The 16407-nt window shown below is 51.5% G+C and overlaps 1 protein-coding gene across 10 annotated transcripts in view; it reads right to left on the reverse strand.

Annotated features, from left to right (window-relative positions):
- Positions 1–1462: 1462 nt before the first annotated feature.
- Positions 1463–16407, reverse strand: part of FBN3 (fibrillin 3) — an 84191-nt gene continuing 69246 nt past the window's right edge. For all 10 annotated transcript variants that reach the window (NM_032447.5, XM_017027372.2, XM_017027374.3 and 7 more), the window contains 5 exons: positions 11344–11472; positions 11132–11251; positions 9124–9358; positions 8109–8259; positions 1463–2321 (listed from right to left, as the gene is read on the reverse strand). In NM_032447.5, the coding sequence (NP_115823.3) occupies positions 1980–2321; positions 8109–8259; positions 9124–9358; positions 11132–11251; positions 11344–11472 (977 nt within the window). In that variant the 3' untranslated portion in view covers positions 1463–1979. The remainder of the gene's footprint in view (positions 2322–8108; positions 8260–9123; positions 9359–11131; positions 11252–11343; positions 11473–16407) is intronic.

Raw genomic sequence — 16407 nt, forward strand, 5'->3', positions numbered from 1 at the left:
TTCTCCTGCCTCAGCCTCCTGAGTAACTGGGATTACAGGCACGTACCACCACCCCTGGCTAATTTTGGTATTTTTAGTAGAGATGGGGTTTCACCAAGTTGGCCAGGCTGGTCTTGAACTCCTGACTTCAAGTGATCCAGCCTCCTTGGCCTCTCAAAGCACTGAGGTTATAGGCGTGAGCCACTGCACCTGGCTGCCCAACTTCCTCCCCTCCCCTCCCCTCCTCTTTTTTTTTTTTTTTTTTTGGTGGAGTCTTGCTCTGTTGCCCAGGCTGGAGTGCAGTGGCATGATCTCAGCTCACTGCAACCTCTACCTCCTAGGTTCAAGCGATTCTCCTGCTTCACTCTCCTGAGTAGCTGGGATTACAGGCGCCCACGACCACGCCTGGCTTTTTTTTTTTTTTTTTTTTTGTATTTTCAGTACAGATGGGGTTTCGCCATGTTGGCCGGGCTGGTCTCAAACTCCTGACCTCAGGTGATCTGCTCACCTCAGCCTCCCAAAGTGCTGGGATTACAGGTGTGAGCCACCACACCCCGCCAGGCCACCCAACTTTCAACCTGGCCTGACCTTGGCCAAAGTGTTTAACTTCTCTGAGCCTCAGTTTTCCCTGTAAAATGGGGATGGTAATAGCATCTATTCCGTGAGGTTGTAGTGACAATCAAAGTGGTCAATAATGGTAAAATACTTGGATACTAACACCTGTAATTCCAGCACTTTGGGAGGCCAAGGCAGTAAGACCACTTGAGCCCAGGAGCTCAAGATCAGCCTGGGCAGTATAGGGACATCCCCATCTCTAAGAAAAATAAATGTTAGGCCAGGTGTGGTAGCTCATGCCTGTAATCCCGGCACTTTGGGAGGCCGAAGCGGGCCGATCACCTGAGGTCAGGAGTTTGAGACCAGCCTGGACAACATGGTGAAACCCCGTCTCTACTAAAAATACACAAATTAGCCAGGTATGGTGGCACACATCTGTAGTCCCAGCTACTCGAGAGGCTGAGGCACGAGAATCACTTGAACTCGGGAGGCAGAGGTTGCAGTGATCCAAGACAGCGCCACTGCAGTCCAGCCTGGGTGACAGGGTGAGACTCTGTCTCAAAAAGAAAGAGAAAGAAAAAGAAATTTAAAAAAATTAGCTGGGTGTGGTGGCGTGCACCTTTGGTCCCAGCTACTTGGGAGAGGCTGAGGTGGGAGGATTGCTCGAGCCCGGAAAGTGGCGACCACAGGGAGCCACGATCGCGCCACTGCACTCCAACCTAGGCAACAGAGCAAGACCCTGCCTCAGAAAAAATAAAAAAAAAATCGAATGGTGTCTGGTATGTAGTACGTGGTCAGGAAGCGTGAGCCATTATTACCATTCTGGGGAGCCCATAAGGCCTTCTGCTTCCCCAGGCACAAGATCTGCCTCGCCCAGTCCAAGGGCAGCATCTACTTACTTCAAGAACTTGCCAAAGGGCAGGCAGACTTAACCCAAAATAACTTTATTATCGTCTCCACTTTTGATATAAAAGCATTCTCCAAATGGGGGGCAAATGTGGCAAGTCACTGTGGAGTCTGGGCCCCCTGTACACCCTTCTACTCCGAGGAATAAGCCCTGTGCCCACCCCAGTTGCCCATTGCCATGTCCTGCCAACCCCCTGCCCCCCGCCAGGGCAAGCCACAGTGCAGTACAGAAGTGAAAGCCTGAGATTGGCCAGACACGGTGACCACAGGGCCTCTTCCTGACCTTGGCTGTGGGGGCAGGGGGATTGCACATTGCAGCTTCTTGCTGTCTCCAGGAAAGACTGAGTAACTGGGGGGCCCCCGGGGCTGGCACAGAGGCCCAGGCAGAGGCCGGGCTTGCCTGAGGTTGTCGTGTAGCATTTCACTCTTCCTGAGTTTCGGGGTTCAATCTGGTCAGCCATCGCTTCTGGGGATCAGTCCTTCCCAGTTCCAGAATCCCCCTTCTCTGGACAGCTGGGGCCCACTGAGGCTCCTCCCAACTAAAGCAACTGCAGCTGCACCTTCAGCCTCAAGGCCTGGCCCCATGGCCCTGGCTGCCCCTCTGGCTGGACACCCCAGGGTCCTGCCATGTGGCTCACCACCTCCAGCCGGTAGGTTCCAGGCCCCGGCCGCCTCCGCCCCAGCTGCAGGGAGCTGACGCCACGGAGGTGATGCATGCGAAAGAAACCTTGCTCGTTTCCGCGGACGATGACGTAGCGGATCCGGCCCTCTAGACCCTCCAGGGCCGGCCGGAGCTCCAGGATGCGCTCGGCCCGGCCCAGGTGTGAGAGGTTCAGGCCCAAGGTCAGCAGGGCCTCGGAGTCAAGGGTGGCCAGGTTCACCTGGGAAGAAAGGCCAGGTGTGTGGTCAGAGCCCAGGAGAATCGGGATGTGGTGTGGGTAGGGGGTCCTCGGATTGTGGCCAAAGAGGAGATTCTGGCCAATCTCTAAAGTGAAGGAAAGAGCCATAAAAAGGAATGAAATCATGCCATTTGCAGCAACGTGGATGCAGCTGGAGGTCATTATCCTAAGCTAATTAATGCAGAAACAGAAGACCAAATACGGCATGTTCTCAGTTATAAGTGGGAGCTAAAAATTGCATACCCATGGACATAAAGATGGGAAGCACAGACACTAGGACTACTAGAGCAGGGAGAGAGGGAGGGAGACAAGAGTTGGGAGGCCGGGCGCAGTGGCTCACGCCTGTAATCCCAGCACTTTGGGAGGCCGAGGCGGGTGGATCACAAGGTCAGGAGTTCGAGACCATCCTGACCAATATGGTGAAACCCAGTCGCTACTAAAAATACAAAAATTAGCTGGGCGTGGTGGCGGGCGCCTGTAGTCCCAGCTACTTGGGAGGCTGAGGCAGGAGAATCGCTTGAACCCGGGAGGTGGAGGTTGCAGTGAGCTGAGATCACGCTACTGCACTCCAGCCTGGGCAACAGAGGAAGACTGTCTCAAAACAAATAAATAAATAAATAAAAGGAAAACTACCTATTGGGAACTATGTTCACTGTTTGGATGATGGGATCAGCAGAAGCCCAAACTGCCTCATCATGCAATATATCCATTTATTAATAACAAACCTGTACCCTCTCAATCTAAAAAAATAGGATGGGCACAGGGGCTCATGCCTATAATCCCAGCACTTTTGGAGGCTGTGGCAGGAGGATTGCTTGAGGACAGGATTTCTTTGTTTCTTCTTCTTTTTCTTTTTTTTTTTTTTTTGAGATGGAGTCTTGCTGTCGCCCAGGCTGGAGTGCAGTGACACGATCTCGGCTCACTGCAACCTCTGCCTCCTGGGTTCAAGTGATTATCCTGCCTCAGCCTCCCAAGTAGCTGGAATTACAGGTGCCTGCCATCATGCCTGGCTAATTTTTGTATTTTCAGTAGAGACAGGGTTTCACTATGTTGGCCAGGCTGGTCTCAAACTCCTGGCCTCAAGTGATCCGCTCACCTCAGCCTCCCAAAGTGCTGGGATTACAGGCGTGAGCCATTGTGCCTGGCCAAGGCCAGGATTTTGAGGTCAGCATGGGCAACATAGTGAGACCTCATCCACCCACAAGAAGTGAAAATATTAGTACTGGTGTGCACCTGTAGTCCCAGCTACTTAGGAGGCTGATGTGGGAGGTCCCAGGAGTTCGAAGCAGCAGTGAGCTGTGATCACACCTCTGCACTCCAGCCTGGGTAACAGACTGAGACCCTGTCTCAAAAATATATATATGTTTATTAGGCACCTACTGAATTCCTGGCAATCTTTGAGGCACTGGGGATTTAGCAATGAGCAGATAAAAATCCTTCCCCTCAGGGAGTTTACCTTCTAGTAAAGCAAAGCAGATAGTAGACAAATAAATGGAAAATGTAAAAGTGACAAGATGTGCTACGAAAAGACATGAAGTTGGCTGAGGGCCAAGGTGGACAGATTGCTTGAGCCCAGGAGTTCGAGACCAGCCTGAGTAACCTGGTGAAACTCTGTCTCTACTAAAAATACAAGAAATTAACCAGGTGTGGTGTTGCACACCTGTAGTCCCAGCTACTAGGGAGGCTGAGGTGGGAGGATCCCTTGAGCCTGGGAGTTCAAGCTGCAGTGAGCTATGATTGCACTGCTGCATTCTAGCCTGGGTGACAGAGTGAGACCCTGCTCCCCAAAAAAAAGAAAATAAATTGATTTTAAAAATCAATAAATAGGCTGGGCGCAGTGGCTCACACCTGTAATCCCAGCACTTTGGGAGGCTCAGGCAGGTGGATCACGAGGTCAGGAGATTGAGACCATCCTGGCTAACAAGGTGAAACCCCATCTCTACTAAAAATACAAAAAAAAAAATTAGCTAGGCGTAGTGTCAGGTGCCTGTAGTCCCAGCTACTCCAGAGGCTGAGCCAGGAGAATGGCATGAACCCAGGAGGCGGAGCTTGCAGTGAGTGGAGATCACGCTGCTGCACTCCAGCCTGGGCGACAGAGCAAGACTCCGTCTCAAAAAAAAAAAAAATCAATAAATAGGGTGGGCACGGTGGCTCATGCCTGTACTCCCAGCACTTTGGGAAGCTGAAGTGGGTGGATCACTTGAGCCCAGGAGTTTGAGACCAGCCTGGGCAACATGGTGAACCCCGTCTCTACAAAAAATACAAAAATTAGCTGGGCAGGTGTGGTGGTACATGTACCTGTGGTCTCAGCTACTTGGGGGATTGAGGCGGGAGGATTGCTTGAGCCCAGGAGTTCAAGGCTGCAGTGAGCTATGATTGCGCCACTGCATTCCAGCCTGGGTGACAGAGTGAGACCTTGTCTCAAATAAATAAATAAATAAATAAATAATAAATCAATAAAAAAATAAAGTGGAGGAAAATACTGCTTCCCTTGGCATCTCAAGTCTGGTTGTTCATCCGCAAGGTCAGCTGGATCTGTAGACTCAGTGGCATAAGGCTGAGGCTGCTTCTGAGAGAGGCAGGGAAACGGCCACTGTTACACACTACAGACCCCTAGTCCCAGCTGAGGGACCTTGCTCAGACCCCTGCCAGCCTGGGCCAAAGGTATCAAAGATTTGCTCTCAGAGACCCAGCAGCCAGGGGATTATTCAGATGACATTGCGACCCAGAGCCCTAAGGTCACTCAGAAATGTCTTGGGATGGCTGGTGTTAGGAACAAGGGCCTTTCAGCAGAAGCCAGCCCCTAAAAGAATGCCAGAGCTGACAGTGAGAGAAACGGGATGCCAAGCAGGGCTGGAGAGGAGAGCGTAAAGGACCAGACAGAAGAGCCGCCTGATAGCTTCCGCTGTGCTTCCTGCATCTGGCCCTCTTTGAGAGCCCCTTGTGTGCCAATGACAAACCCTTCTTTATTTAAGCTCCTCTGAAGTGCCTTCCTGGTCTTGGCAGCTGGACAGGGCCCTGAATAAGACAGCGAGCCTCAATGGCAGGCTACCCCAGGGCTGGGTGACGTATCCAACCCCACAGAAAGTCATCTGTGTTTTCTTTGCCTTTGTTTTAGGGAGCACTGTGTTGGTTTGGCCTCATTTACATGCCGACGGAGTGTTTTGCTGTTGCATTCAAGTGAAAGTTATTCCTGTTCCCCAGCCCCTCAGTTCTGGAGATCTCAGGCCTTCTTCCCACGGAATGTTGTTAAGACTTATGCTCTTACTGACCCCTGCTGGCAGTCAGTGGGTATTGCAGGCAAAGGCACAATACAGCCCTATTTTTGAGACAGGGTCTGTCTGTCACCCAGGCTGGAGTGCAGAGGTGTGATCACAGCTCTCTGCCGCTTTGAACTCCTGGGTTCAAGCAATCCTCCCGCCTCAGCCTCCCAAGTAGCTGGGACTACAGGCACATGGCACCACAGCTGGCTAATATTTTTACTTTTTGTAGGTGGAGGGGGTCTCACTATGTTACCCGGGCTGGTCTCAAAATCCTGGCCTTGACTGGGCACAGTGGCACACACCTGTAATCCCAGCACTCTGGGAGTCTGAGGTGGGCTGATCACTTGAGGCCAGGAGTTTGAGACCAGCCTGGCCAACATGGCGAAACCCCATCTCTACTAAAAATACAAAAATTAGCCCTTCTCTGTCTTGATCTACTTCTGCCCTGGGACCCTGACAACCACTCACTCACTCTTATTGAGTACCAAGGGGTACCAATACAGTAGTAAATCCTACAGACACAGCTCTACCCTTATGAAGTTTACAGAAAATATCAGTAACTATGGGATAATATATACATCCACAGTTTTTCCTAGCAAGGGGGAAAAAATAACTAGAGGGGAAAAAGGGCCTTTCAGTAATACAAAGTAATACACTCACATTTTATCTAATATAGAAAGCCTCTCAAGCCCAATAACCCTATCCCATGTCTCACTTTGTTTTTCCCCATAGCACTTATCATGTATCATATTTGTCATGTGTTATAAAAGATGATATGTTTTACATGTTGATTTCTTGTGTGTCTCCCTTTTAGAATATCAGCCTCACGAGGGCAGGTGTTTTTGTTGTTGTTGTTGTTCACTGTTGCTCCATTACAGTGCCCAGCAGTGGTATTCAGTAAAATCTGTGGAGTGAAGAAGCTTCGACCTAAATGTCTGCAGTGGGGGTGAGTTTGGGGTAATGGTTTCCATGCTCAGTGATAATTGTTTGGGAAACAATGTAAAGTGATGGCTTCGGAAGACAGAGGGGCCCAGGATGGCTGGCCATGGATGCCAAGGCTGCTTGTAAAGAGAAGTCCACGTGCCATATCCATGGAATCTCTGAACCACCACGTTCAAGTTCTGTAACTTGGGCATGTGCCCTAACCTCTCAGAGCCTCAGTTCCTCCATCTGTAAAATAGGGATAATAGTGGCATCTAGGCTGGGTGCAGTGCTTCATGCCTGTAATCCCAGCACTTTGGGAGGCCGAGCCGGGTGGATCACCTGAGGTCAGGAGTTCAAGACCAGCCTGACCAACATGAAGAAACCCCGTCTCTACTAAAAATACAGAATTAGCTGGGCGTGGTGGTGCACGCCTGTAATCCCAGCTACTCGGGCGGCTGAGGCAGGAGAATCGCCTGAACCCAAGAGGCAGAGATTGCGGTCAGCCGAGATCACGCCATTGCATTCCAGCCTGGGCAACAAGAGTGAGACTCTGTCTCAAAAAAAAAAAAAAAAAATAGTGGCATCTACACCTCCCAGGGTTGTCATAAACATTGAGAGGCTGTGAACAGAGAGCACTTGGAGTGATACCTGCATACAGCAGGTGTTTAATACATTTTTGGCTTTCAGATCCCTTGGGTGATGGCTGCAGGACTGACCCATAGTCAGGGACTCTTCAGTTGAGGGGCAAGCAGCTGGCATCTGTGGCAAAAATGCCCTCTCTGCACACCTTGATGGGGTGGCCCGAGAGGGAAGGAGGGATGGAGCCATAGGCCTGCCCTACGGCTACTGAGTGGTGTGTTGAAGATCCCTGAGATTCCTAGAGACAAGGCAGGTTCAGGAACTCCAGGAGCACCTCAGGCACAAGAGGGGTACAGGGCAGATGCTGAGTGGGTATGTCAGGTTGGGGCCCTGGGGCTCCTAAGGGGAGCCTCTGCTGGGGTCCCCAGAGAAAAGACTCACCTCCCCAAGGCTCAGACAGGGAAGGGGCTTGGGCTTAACTTGGCCTAAGGGTTTGTGAGAACAGCCCAGAGGGATGCACAGAAGAGTTGAGATGGGCAGAGCTGTGGTACAAAGGCCACTTAGGGCCCCATTGGAACTAAATCCCAAAAGGTCCCAAGGGAGGCCTTCACCAACCAGGAGGTGAGGGGGTGACAGATTCCAGGGTGCAGGCAGGGTTGGAGGGGCCCAGGTATTTCCCTGCATCCAAGTGCCTTTATAAAAGGGACCCATAGAAAGCATCACAGCCCGGCCAGGGTCTGTATGGAAGACGCCTGACTTGTCACCAGGAGTGAGGCAGAGTGTCCGGGAGATGTGTCCCCCAGAGACCCCCCCCAAGAAAAATCCCAGGGCTGAGAAAGCACAAGAAGGCCCTAAGCCGGCACCATGACATGGGGAACCTGTTGGGATCTGGAGCCTGGTGCTCCTTCTTGGGGGGGCTGACATGACTAAGTCGGGTCCACAGCCTCTTTCCCACACTCACCCATTCCCTGGCCACCCCTGCCTAGTGCAGCACCCATGTCACCTGGTGGTCCCTGTGGGCACTGCGTCGTGGCCGGTCCCGAGGGGAGAGGCCATTGATCTTGCATTCGTAGCAGGCTTCAGACGAGAGCAGCTCCTCTTTGTCCGGGGTGTCCTGGGGTCCGGGGCTGAAGCCCAGGCCGGAGACACAGTGCCTGGGCCAGGATGGGCAGGGTGGAGGGGTTTCAGAGGCGGGCTGATGGGACCTCCCCAGCCACGCCGCTCCACCCCATACTCCGTTCTGAGTCATGCTGCAAATGCCCACGCACACAAATGCCTCTGAGCATGTGCTGGTGTGGCTCCGTGTGCACGAGTGTGTGTGCACCACATAAGGGTGTGCATGTGTGTCCCTTGGTTCATTTGGGCATAGGTGTGAACACAGGAGTGAGAGGACGTGCACAGGCTGGGATGGATGAATGGACATGAGCATACCCAGGGGCATGTGCGTGTGCCAACCTGTGTGTTCACATGGGGAATAACTCATGCAGGCACATGTGTGCTCGTAGGAATGTGTGAATCTCCCTGAGTGTGCCTGGGGATGTGTGTATAGTGTGAGCACTCACAGATGGCTGACGCGTGCTTCCTCACCTGTGCAAACCAGGATGTAGCAATGGCACTGTGCCCCCAGGGATGTGGGCATGCATGAGCCTGAGTGCACACTGGGACATGCGCGCGTGCACACACACACACACACACACACGTGTGCATGCTGGGATCTGTAAATGCACAAGGGTGCCCACGCATGCTGGTACGGGTGTGTGCCATGTGGACAACTACATGTGAGTGCTGTGAGGATGTGTGTGAATAGATACAGGTGCCACTGTACCTCTGCGTGTCCAGGACTCTGTGCATATGTGGGCAAATGCCTGCATGCACAGGCTGAAGGAGCTCTTCTGGTAAATTCTTGGCATGCACAAAGCCCCGTGTGTGTGTGTGTGTGTGTGTGTGTGTGTGTGTGTGCGTGCGTGCATGGACGCTTGCGGGGCATGGAGTCTGCTTGCCCCACTCCAGCCTCTCACCCTTGCCCAGCCCGGAAGTAGCCTTGAGGACAGCCGCACAGGAAGCCACCAGGCGTGTTGGCACAGCTGTAGCTACAGGGGCCACGCCGTCCGGCGCACTCATCCACCTCCTGGCAGCCCCCGAGGGCCTGATCAAAGTCAAAGCCAGAGGGGCAGACGCAGCGGAAGCCACCAAGAGTGTTGCGACAGGAGGCGCTCCCGCAGGTGGGGGGCGACAGGGCACACTCATTCTCATCTGTGGGAGGAAAGGAGGAGGAGAGGGAGGACGCAGAGGTGGGGCAGTGCAGCCTTCACACCCCCAGAGCCCTCCACCTGGAATGCTGTATGTTCAGAGCCCAAGTCCAATGCCAAACTCTTCAGCAAGCTGGCAGTGAGCCCTGAGACTAGATCGGCCCCATAGCCCCGCTGCCCCAAACCCTGTGGTTCTCCTTCACAACATCTCTCAACACTTCCCCTAAACCCCAAAATGTGGGATGATCTAGAACAAGCTTTCTCACCCTCAGTGCTATTGACACTTGGGGCCAGATCATTCTCTAGGGAGGAGGCCTCCTTGCACTGTGGGACATTGAACAGCATCCCTGGCTTCCACCCGCTTGACACCAGGAAAACCTATCCGCCTCCAATTGTCTGTTTGGAGTTGGGAGTCTCACTCTGTTGCCCAGGCTGGAGTGCAGTGGTGCAACCATAGTGCACTGCAGCCTTGACGTCCTGGGCTCAAGGGATCCTCCTGCCTCAGCCTCCTGAGTAGCTGGGACTACAGGTGTGCACCAACATGCCTGGCTAATCTTTTAACTTTTTGTAGAGATGGGGGGTCTTGCTATGTTGCCTAGGCTGGTCTTGAACTCCTGGCCTCAAATGATCCCCCTACCTCAATATCCCACAAGAGTGAACTACCATGGCGGATCCCAATTGTGATGATCAAAAATGTCTCGCAGACACTTCAAAATGTACTATGGGGGTAAAATGGTCCTCTGTTGAGAACCTAGTTAGGGGTCTAATTAATCTCTGTTTCCTTTGCTGGACTGAAAAACTCAAGGCAGAAATGGTTTTTCAGCTCACTTCTGCATCTGAGCTCAGGGCCTAGTGAAAGGCAGGTCCTTGGCAAACAGTTGGGGAAAGAATGAATGAGTCAGTACGGGGGGAGGAAACAAGTTGAGGAAGAGTTGCCAGCAAAGGCCAATGGTCTGTGGGATCCCCAAGATCCCCAGGGGACAAGCAGCTTGCCTGGGGGGTGGGGTCGTGTGGTGTGGGAAGCCCAAGAAGAACTTAGCTAAAGACCCACCATGACAGACAAAAGGAGGGGGCAGAGAAGGCAGTGCCTGTGAGGCAGTGGGAGAGCAGGGATAGCCACATCACAAAGGCCACAGGAGAGAGTGTCCAGGAGCCTGAAGGGGCAGACTGTGGTGCCCAGAGCAGTGGAGGTAGAGGATGGAGGCCGAGGAGAGGTCTCAGGAGAGAGCAAGTGGGCCTGAAAATGGTAGAGGGTGAAAGCTGCACTGCAGTGGAGGAATGAAAAGAGCAGTGAAAGAGGCTGCTAGGAGGTCCTAGAGCAGCCAGAAGATGGGGGAAGGTTGGGGGGCAGAAGGCTAGCCCCCCAAATGGAGGGCCTCTGCAACAGCTATGGCAATGACATAGCATGCACACCTCCATTGCCCCTTGCAGCATCCATAGCAGACATCACTAATCACACTCGTGGCAGACATCACTAATCAATCACAGCACTCTTTCCCTGTGATCACAAAATTGCAGACTTCAGGTCTCAGAATCTTTCTCAACTGAGTCCTCCAGGCCACCATGCCCTAAGGAATGAACTCAGACACTTTTTGATGCTTATTCTGCTGCACCTTGACTCCCCAGCAGTGGGGAACTCACTACCTTCTGGGCTGGCCTGTTCAATCTTTAGATAATTGTGCTTGTCACATCATCTTGCAGGGTGGCGTCTGTTAGTCGCCTGCTCTGAGCAGATTCTGGTGGAGGGCCCAGCTTCTTCCCAGCCCTTTTCACTCACCCACACACTGGGCCCACTGGGAGTGCTGGGTGAAACCCTGGGGGCAGCTGCAGCGGTAGCCCCCTAGCTGGTTCTGACAGCCATGCTGGCAGCGGTGGGGCCCATCACATTCATTCACATCTGAGACATAGAGAGAGGGAGAGAGGGTTTACCAGACGGCTCTCAGGACCAACACCCCCAAACACTAGACCCCAGCCAAAGCTGGGCTGTACCTTCACAGCCATGGCCTGAGCTGACCAGGGTGAAGCCTTGGTGGCATTCACAGCGGAAGCTGCCCGGGGTGTTGTGGCAGTGCCCGTGGGCACCACATGGGCCAGGCTGGGCTGAGCACTCATCATTGTCTGCAGAGGAGAGAGATCAGGCAGGGTTGCCTGCTGGTTAAGGAACTCGTGTCAGGTGACACAATGCCAGTCCCACCACTGTGTGGCTTCAGGCAAGTTGCTCACCCTCTCTGTGCCTGTTTCCCACTCTGTGAAATGAGATCTGTAACAGTTCCTGACTCAGAATAGGCACCAATGTTTGAGATCCTGCACATAAAGAATCTCATCTCCACCGCCTCGAAGCTGTGTGTCCTTGGGCAACTTACCTACCCTCTCTGTGCCTCGATGTCCTCAGCTGTATATGGAGATGATAATGTCTACCTCATTGCATTTTTGTGTGCATGCGAGAATTAAATTAACCTAATCATGTAAAAGGCTTAGGGCAGTGCCCGGTAAAAGAGTAAAAGATAAACAAAGCCTCTTTTCCTTCTCCCATGGAAAAATGACATAGGGTTGCCTGTTGAGTTTTGTTCCCATGGAAACCTGACAATAGTGTGAGGTCAGCCGGTGCCATGGATTGAATGTTCGTGTCTCTCCAAAATCCTATGTTGAAGCCCTAACCCCCAGTGGGCTGGTATTTGGATATTAGGTCTTTGGGAGGTGATCAGGGTTAGATAAGGTCATGAGGGTAGGGCTTTTATGATGAGAATAGTGCCCTTATAAGAGACACCAGAAAGCTTGCTCTGTCTCTGCCAAGTGAGGACACAGCAAAAAGGTGGCTGTCTGCAAACCAAGAAGAGAGCCCTCACAGAACCAGCCGTGCTGCCACCTTGATCTTGAACTGCCCAGCTTCCAGAATGGAAAAAAAAATAAATCTCTGTAGTTTAAGCCAACCAGTGTATGGGTTGTCCGTGTGCGTGTGTGTGTGTGTGTGTGTGTGTGTGTGTGTAAGCTATTGTTTTAAACTGAATAGTCTGTGATCATCTTTCTATGTCTTTAAATATTCTTACTATTCTTGGGGGCTGGGTACAGTGGCTCATGCCTGTAATCCCAGTGCTTTGGGAGGCCTAGGGAGCCTCCGGATCACCTGAAGTCAGGAGTTCGAGATCAGCCTGACCAACATGGTGAAGCCCCATCTCTACTAAAAATACAAAACAATTTAGCCAGGTGTGGTGGTACACGCCTGTAGTCCCAGCTACTCGGGAGGCTGAGGCAGAAGAATCGCTTGAACCCGGGAGGCGGAGGTTGCGATGAGCCAAGATTGTTCCACTGCACTCCAGTCTGGGTGACTGACAGAGTGAGATTCCATCTTAAAAATATATGTATACATACACATATATATATATTTTTCTTACTATTCTTATTTGCATAATTTTAAATGGCCACCACATCTTCACTTGGTGTGGATTTGCTCTGCTTCATTTAACCAACTGTTAATTTTGGTTTTTTTAGATAGGATCTCATTCTGTCCCCTGGGCTGGAGTGAAGTGGCACAGTCTCAGCTCACTGCAACCTCCGCCTCCTGGGCTCAGGTGAGCCTCCTACCTCAGCCTCCTGGGTAGCTGGGACTACAGGTGCACAAGACCATGCCTGGCTAATTTTTGTATTTTTAGTGGGGACTACGTTGTCCACTATGTTGCCCAGGCTGGTCGCAAACTCCTGGGCACAAGAGATCCTCCCAACTCAGCCTCCCAAAGTGCTGGGATTACAGGTGCAAACCACTGCGCCCGGCCCAGTTTTTGGATTTGAATTTGCTAAATCCCACACTTGCAGTCTATGGTATTTTGTTATGGCAGCCTGAGCTGGCTAAAATGGCCAGGTTGCTACGATGGTAGGAGGGCATTGGTACAATGGCCAGAGAGCATTGCTACAATGGTGGGAGCCCATGGCTGGTATACTGCATTTGAACTGGGATTTTGAGGAATGAACAACAAATTCCTGGTGGAAAATCCTGCTTTTAGCTTCCTTGAGTACAGAGATTCTTGACACTAAGCACATATCTATGGAGATGTAGAGTCTCTCTTGGGGTCGGGCACAGTGGCTTATGCCTGTAATCCCAGCACTTTGGGAGGCCGAGGCGGGCAGATCACCTGAGCATGGGAGTTTGAGACCAGCCTGACCAGCATAGTGAAACCCCATCTCTACTAAAAATACAAAAATTAGCTGGATGTGGTGCTGCATGCCTGTAATCCCAGCTACTTGGGAGGCTGAGGTGGGAGAATCGTTTGAACCCAGGAGGCAGAGGATGCAGTGAGCCACGATCACGCCCCTGCGCTCCAGCCTGGGCGACAGAGTGAGACTCTGTCTCAAAAAACAAAAACGAGCAAACAAAAAGTGAATATCTCTTGGGAACAACAGACATGGGAACATGAAGCTTCTAAGTAGGAGTGGCCCCTGCGGCTGCCTGAGCTGTCACTTGAGGGGCCACAGAGAATAGCTCTAGACTCTGGCCAGAAGAAATGTCTGGCACAGCCAGGCACCGTGGCCTGCAATCCCAGCACTTTGGAAGGCCGAGATGGGCAGATTGCTTGAGCCCAGGAGTTTAAGACCAGCCCGGGCAACATGGCAAAACCCCGTCTCTACAAAAAATACAAAAATTAGCCGGGCGTGGTGGCACACACCTGTAGTCCTAGCTACTTGGGAAGCTGAGGCAGGAGGATCGCTTGAACCTGGGAGGTGAGATTGCAGTGAGCTGAGATTGCACCACTGCAATCTCCAGCCTGGGCGACAGAGCAAGACTCCATCTCAAAAATTAAAAACAGAAATGTCTGCCACCACCCACAATTTCTTTCCCTTACATCTAGCAAAGCAAACCAAGTGTCAGGCTGGCCTACTGTGGCCATGTGAGTTTGCTCTTCTATTAACAGTTTAGTCATTAGCAGACAGGAACACCCTGAGACAAAATCCAAGCCACTGTCTGTTGTATCAATAAAGTTTATTGGGACACAGACACGGTCTTTCATTTACGTATCTCTCCAGCTGCTTTGATGCTAGCATGGTAGAGTCCAATCGTGGCGACAGAGACCATCTCAACTACAAAGCTGAAAATATTTACTCCTCTTGAGCCCTTTGCAGAAAAAGTTTGTGACTTTTGATCAAGTTGAGCCTCACACCACCATCTGCCTGGCTGAGAATTTAAACTCATTTCTAGTGAGAGAAGCAGTCACGTGTGACCTTGCTCCACGGATGTTACCCATGTGATGCACGGCCCTGGTCCATGCAGCTGCTCACACATCCAGTGAAAACCTTACTTTTTTTTTTTTTAATAGAGATGGGGTCTCACTGTGTTGCCCAGGCTGGTCTCAAACTCCTGAGCTGAAGCAATCCTCCTGCCTCAGCCTCCCAAAATGCTGGGATTACAGGTGTGAGCCATTATGCCTGGCCACAGACTTTAATGTTGCAGAGAAACAGAAATGCCTCTTGTTTCAAGAGTCTTTGTTCAAATGTTCTCTCTCTCTCTCTTTTTTTTTTTTTTGAGTCTTGCTCTGTCCCCTAGGCTGGACTGCAGTGGTATGAACACTGCTCACTGCAGCCTCAACCTCCTGGGTTCAAGAGATCCTCCCACCTCAGCCTCCTAAGTAGCTAAGACTACAGGCAGGTGTCACCACCTCTAGCTAATTTTGTATTTTTTGTAGAGATGGAGTCTTGCCATGTTGCCTGGGCTGGTCTCGAACTCCTGGCCCTAAGCCATCCTCCCAAAGTGCTGGGATTACAGGCATGAGCCACAGTGCCCAGCCAAATGTTCTCTTTTGGTGATACTTGACCTGATCCCTCTCTTAAAACTGAAGCCCTCTCAGGAGGCTGAGGTGGGAGGATCACTTGACACCAGGAGTTTGAGGCTTCAGTGTGCTGTGATCACATTTGTGAATAGCCACTGTACTCCAGCCCGGGCAACAGAGTCATTAAGAGACTCCATCTCTAAGAAACAAAAAACAAAACAAAAAACCCAGATGTGGTGAGCCTGTAGTCCCAAGTACTAGGGAAGCTGAAGTGGGAGAATTGCTTGAGCCCAGGAATTTGAAGTTTCAGTGAGCTGCGATCACATTGCTGTATTCCAGCCTGGGTGATGGAGCAAGACTCCATCTCTAAAACAAACAAACAAACAAACAGACAGACAACATAACCAAAAACAACCACCACCAAACCTCTCCCTACCCTCCAAAACAACCCTGTGGCCCTCTCCTTCTTTCCTGAACTCCTGCTTTTACTTTTTCTTTCTTTCATGACACACATCACCTTTGAACACACTATTCTGTTAATTGTTTGTTTGTTTGTTTGTTTGTTTTCGAGACAGAGTCTTGCTGTGTCTGAGTGCACTGGCACGATCTCGGCTCACTGCAATCTCCACCTCCCAGGTTCAAGTGATTCTCTTGCCTCAGCCTCCCAAGTAGTTGGGATTACAGGCGCCACCACCACACCCGGCTAATTTTTGTATTTTTAGTAGAAACGGGGTTTTGTCATGTTGGCCAGGCTGGTCTCGAATTCCTGGCCTCAAGTGATCTGCCAGCCTCAGCCTCCCAAAGTGATGGGATTACAGGCATGAGCTACCACACCCAACCACACCATTCTGTTAATTTCTTGTTATGTCTGCCTCTAGTCTTGATTCTGTGCTAGAAGGAAAGTTCCATGATGGAAGATCCCTGCCTTTTATGTTTGTTGCTGTACCCCCAGGGTCTATAACAGGGCCCGACAAACCATTTCTGTTTCTGTAACAGGCTCTGTCCCAAGACTCTTCTCTGCCAATATAGTGCAAAAGCAGCCACAGGTGATTGTAAGCAAGCGGGCTTGGCTGTGTGTCAATCAAACTTTATTAACAAAAGCAAGCAGGGGGCCGGGCTTGGCTGGCAGCCTGGAGTTTGCCACCCTTTGGTCTAGAGCACTGCCTGGTACACAGTAGGTGCTGTCTGGGCAGATTAGTGGGCGCGTGAAAGGGGCCACCCTTGACTAGGCTCTGCCTTTGGGGAAGATTGTGTTCCCTGGGGGCCACGAGACACTAAGAAACAATGATGGTAGCAG

The sequence above is a fragment of the Homo sapiens genome, chromosome 19, assembly GCF_000001405.40.
Source record: "Homo sapiens chromosome 19, GRCh38.p14 Primary Assembly".
In the NCBI taxonomy this organism is placed as follows: Eukaryota; Metazoa; Chordata; class Mammalia; order Primates; family Hominidae; genus Homo; species Homo sapiens.